The sequence below is a fragment of the Homo sapiens genome, chromosome 1, assembly GCF_000001405.40.
Source record: "Homo sapiens chromosome 1, GRCh38.p14 Primary Assembly".
Classification (NCBI taxonomy): Eukaryota; Metazoa; Chordata; class Mammalia; order Primates; family Hominidae; genus Homo; species Homo sapiens.
Window position 1 is genome coordinate 22,415,024 of NC_000001.11, and position 4,326 is coordinate 22,419,349.

A 4,326-nucleotide genomic window follows, 5' to 3' on the forward strand; every position below is an offset into this window, starting at 1 on the left:
CCATCTGCCACTCATATGAGAAGGTTGCCGGGTGCCGTGGCTCATGCCTGTAATCCTAGCAATTTAGGAGGCCAAGGCGGCCAGATCGCCTGAGAGAGGTCAGGAGTTCGAGACCAGCCTGGCCAACATGGTGAAACGCCATCTCTACTAAAAACACAAAAATTAGCCAGGTGTGGTGGTGTGCGCCTGTAGTCCCAGCTACTGGGAAGGCTGAGGCAGGAGAATCACTTGAACCTAGGAGGCAGAGGTTGCAGTGAGCCGAGATTGCACCACTGCACTCCAGCCTGGGCAACAGAGTGAGACTCCATCTCAAAAAAAAAAAAAAAAAAAAAAGAGGTAAAGAGGTCAAGCTGCAGGTAAAGCCACCTATGTCACAGGGCCAGCTCTGCTTCCCAGGGAGGGGGAAGAATCATGCGTATAAGTCCAAGGGGAGAAAAAAAAATGGCAAAACCAATCCAGGGAGTTACTGACCCCACTGAAATGTGGATCCATACCAAAGACATACGGGTCCACACCTCCAAAGGACTAAATAAAGGACACTCAGCTGAAACCTCAGCCCGAGGGACTTTAGTAGGTCACATCAAACCCTTTCCTGACTTGGCATGGGCCAGTGCGGGACAGTCCAGTAGTTTAAGCAAGTCTATGGAGCCAAACAGACCTGGGTCTGAATTCCGGTAAGGCCACCCAGTGGCTGGGTGACCCAGGGGGAGCTATGGCGCCTCTCTGAGCCTGGGTTTTCCCAGCTATGAAATGGAGATGATAATAATTCATACCTCTTGGGGCTGTTGTGAGAACGTAAGGAACAGTTCAGTGCCTATGCCAGTTTGAAGGTCATACGGGGCCCTAGCCAAATGATCTTCTCCTTGGGTTACTGGATGATTCTTCAAGGGTGATAACCATCAAGACCTACTCTGGCGGATCAGGCACGGTGGCTCATGCCTGTAATCCCAGCACTTTGGGAAGCAGAGGCGGGCAGATCATCTGGGGTCAGGAGTTTGAGACCAGCCTGGTCAACATGGTGAAACCCTCTCTCTACTAACAATATAAAAATTAGCCAGGTGAGATGGCTCATGCCTGTAATTCCAGCACTTTTTGAGGCCTAGGCAGGTGGATCATTTGAGTTTAGGAGTTTGAGACCAGCCTGGCCAACATGGTGAAACCCCATCTCTACTAAAAATACAAAAATTAGCTGGGTGTGGTGGTGTGCACCTGTAATCCCAGCTACTCGGCAAGGCTGAGGCAGGAGAATTCCTTGAACCCAGGAGGCAGAGGTTGCAGTGAGCTAAGATTGCACCATTGCACACTCCAGCCTGGGCAACAGAGCAAGACTCCATCAAAAAATAAATAAATAAATAAAACCCACTCTGGCATGGAGAACATCTGAGTTCTTTGAAGCACTCACATGTACATTCTCATTTGTAGCACTTCTCACAACAGTGCCATAAGGTGGGTCACTCTCCACAGTCTGCAGATACAAAAACTGAGGATCGAACAGACAAAGCCATTTGTCCAGAGCTCACCACAAGCCCTCGCCCTGAAGCCCAGGACTTTGACTCCTAGTCATTGCTCTGGCACCTCCTTCCACAGGCTCAGATCCTACTGACCCCATGTGGCCTCGGTGGGTCCAGCTGTGTCCAGAGGCCTCCCAGACACTGGCTCCAGGCCTCTCAATTTCTCTCCAGCCTCAAAAGGAGGTTCAGACAGCGGAGGTGAGCTCAGCCAGAAGTGTGAGGAGACAGCGCCCTCCAGTGGCCTCTGCGCAGCAGCGAGGGAAGCCGAAGGAGGGGGTGGGGCACTTCGATGTCACAAGGGCTGCAGCCCCGAGGAGAGGGACAGAGATCAGGGGCACATTCGACTCCTGTCCTCACCGGTCCAGCCCCTTGACACCTCCAATACTCCTTCTGTCCCAGGACTCTTAGAATCACACCATTCCAATCTGGAAAGAAACTGAAACGCCACCTAAATGAATATTCTCTTTGCACAAAGATGATTGAATCCAGGGTGGAGACAGATCATCCAAGGTCATGTGAGGAGTCAGGGTGGAATGGATTCAGAGCTCAGGTCCCCTACCTGCCCCTTCAGCCCCAGCAGGAAGTTCATGGAGGTTGGATTCACCAGCCCTGCACCTCCCCGCTCCCCATTTTTCTCCTCTGCCTTCAGGGCTGCCAGGCACACCAGGTAGAGTGGGAGGGGCTGAGGCAGAAGAATGATGGTGATGGGCTCTCCAACTCTTGATGGCTGTGTGACCTGGTGCAGGTTACTTAACCTCTCTGTGCCCCAGTTTCCCCCTCTGTGAAATGAAATTGAATCCTCAATGCCATAGGATTACTGTAAGGACTAAATAATGCATAAAGTAAAAAAGGCCTGGTAGGTGGTAAGCAGCCCCCAAACATGGCAGCCCCTGCTTCTGCTTTTATTACTATTCGTTTGGTGCCTCTAATCCATTGGTTCACTTCTGAGGGGCCACAAGCTCTCCCACGCACCTTTCTCTCCTCCCCTTCTCTCACGTCATTTCTTCTCACCAAACCCCAAAGCGACAAATTAATCCCCAGTACCTGTATCTCTTGTCTGTCACATTCGAGGCTCTGCAAGACGGTGTGGCCTGGCCAGGGACTGGGGAGTCGGTGCCACGCACACAGCCCCTCTGTGGGTCAGCCTGCCACTCTGGCCCAGGGTAAGCTTAGCTAAGGCTGAGTCTCAGAGAAGGGCTGAAACCCCAAAGGGTTTTTCTGGTGCCAAGAGCAGACCGGGTTGAAGGGCGCGGTCAGTACCTTCCTGGGATGATTCTAAGCGCCCAGCTCTAACAGCTGAACATCACCAGGCTCGAGTTTCAGGATGGGAACCTTGAAAAGCCCTCTGTGATTTTCCTTTTCACATCAGGCTTGGGGCCAGGCAGACATGGGTTCAAATCCTTGCTCTGCCACTCATGAGTTATGTGATCTTGGGAAGAGACTGAATGTCTCCGGACCTCAGTTTCCTCATCTGTAAAGTGGGAGTGGTTATAGGAGTGTACGGAACTGTTGGGTTTGGATTAAGGTGTCCAGCCCACTGCCTGGAATGCAGCACTTTGACTTGCTTATTGAACATCAAAATTAATTTACCGCCTTTTTCCCTCAAATCCTGTTCTTCCTCTGGAATTCCCTGTCCTGGTAGGGGTCTGTAATACTTATATCTAGGATGTCTATAATACTTACACATCCAAGGAGGGGTGGCCCATGTTCTCACACTTTCTATCAACTCCGTCATAGCTGTCTTGCACAGAGGTGAATCCATCACAGCTGCCTTGCATGGCCATTCCTCTCCACCCACTTTGGCCATGGCTCTCCATCCAGGACAAGGTTATGGCAAATCCTTCATCACTGGTTTCCTCCTTCCAGCCTCCTTACTCCTGCTGGGGTGGTTACATCAGCCCCTCTCCATGTCTCACTCTGAAACACATGTTCAGAGCACAAAGTCCAAACTGCTCAACCGAGCCAGGACGCCGAGGTCCCTCATGATCTGGGCCCCTCACTCCCACCTCCCCAGCATCATCTACTCCCACCCTGCCTCCCACACAAAACAACTCTCCCTCCCCAAACTCTCAGTGTTCCCTGAGGATGAGGCTCCCTGCTGCTCTGTGCCTCTAAGCCTCTGCCCCCTGCCCCCTGCCCCAACCACCCAGAACGCCCTCTCTGACAACCTCCTCTGCAAGCCCTCTGCAACTGCTCCCACCTGCCCAATTCTTCCCACGTGGAGCCAAGCACTCTCTCCTTCAGGCCCCACCGGCCTCTCTCAGACCCCCATGACGGCCCTTCCCACCTGTATGCGGCAGGTTTACCTGACTAGGCAATCCAGGAGGGAGGCGAGAGCACTGAATGAGAGCAATGCCTCTGGGGTCCTGTCTCCTGGGATTTACTGAGAGGACGTGTGGAGTCCTAGCACCATGTCTGCTGCATATAGATGCTCAGCAAATGAAAGTGATTCTTTTTATGGCTATCTCCCCATGAGGCTGCAAATTCCTAGAGCAAGACTCATGTCTTAATTATCTTTGCATCCCCAGCAACTAGCCCTGTGATCTGGCCCACAGTAGAAGTTTAACAGATGTTTTCACATGGATGAATGGATGGATGGATACATGGATGTATGGATGGATAAATAGATGGATGGTGTGGCTGAAAGAGGAGGAAGAAATACATAAGAGCTGCCATTTAGCTGGTAACTAGGCAGTGACAGAAACGTGCATAGCACTTTACAAAGCAATGTCAGCCAAACCCAACCACGGAGATTGATTCTATTTTTATCCCTGTTTCATGGTGGGGAGGAACTGGCTCAGAGAGGTGAAGACAC

The 4,326-nt window shown here is 51.6% G+C and overlaps 1 long non-coding RNA gene across 1 annotated transcript, besides 1 other annotated feature; it reads right to left on the reverse strand.

Annotated features, from left to right (window-relative positions):
- Positions 1–1,307: 1,307 nt before the first annotated feature.
- LOC105376856 (uncharacterized) lies at positions 1,308–3,941 on the reverse strand. The gene is made up of 3 exons (XR_947058.2): positions 3,818–3,941; positions 3,195–3,428; positions 1,308–1,947 (listed from the first exon to the last, which is right to left on the reverse strand). It is a non-coding gene; the product is annotated as an uncharacterized LOC105376856 (long non-coding RNA).
- Positions 2,207–3,122: an enhancer, noted in NCBI's record as "H3K4me1 hESC enhancer chr1:22743723-22744638 (GRCh37/hg19 assembly coordinates)". NCBI's record gives its function as "activates a minimal SCP1, AML or CMV promoter by ChIP-STARR-seq in primed H9 embryonic stem cells {active_cell/tissue: H9 hESC(primed)}" and the evidence as "EXISTENCE:reporter gene assay evidence [ECO:0000049][PMID:30033119]".
- Positions 3,942–4,326: the final 385 nt, after the last annotated feature.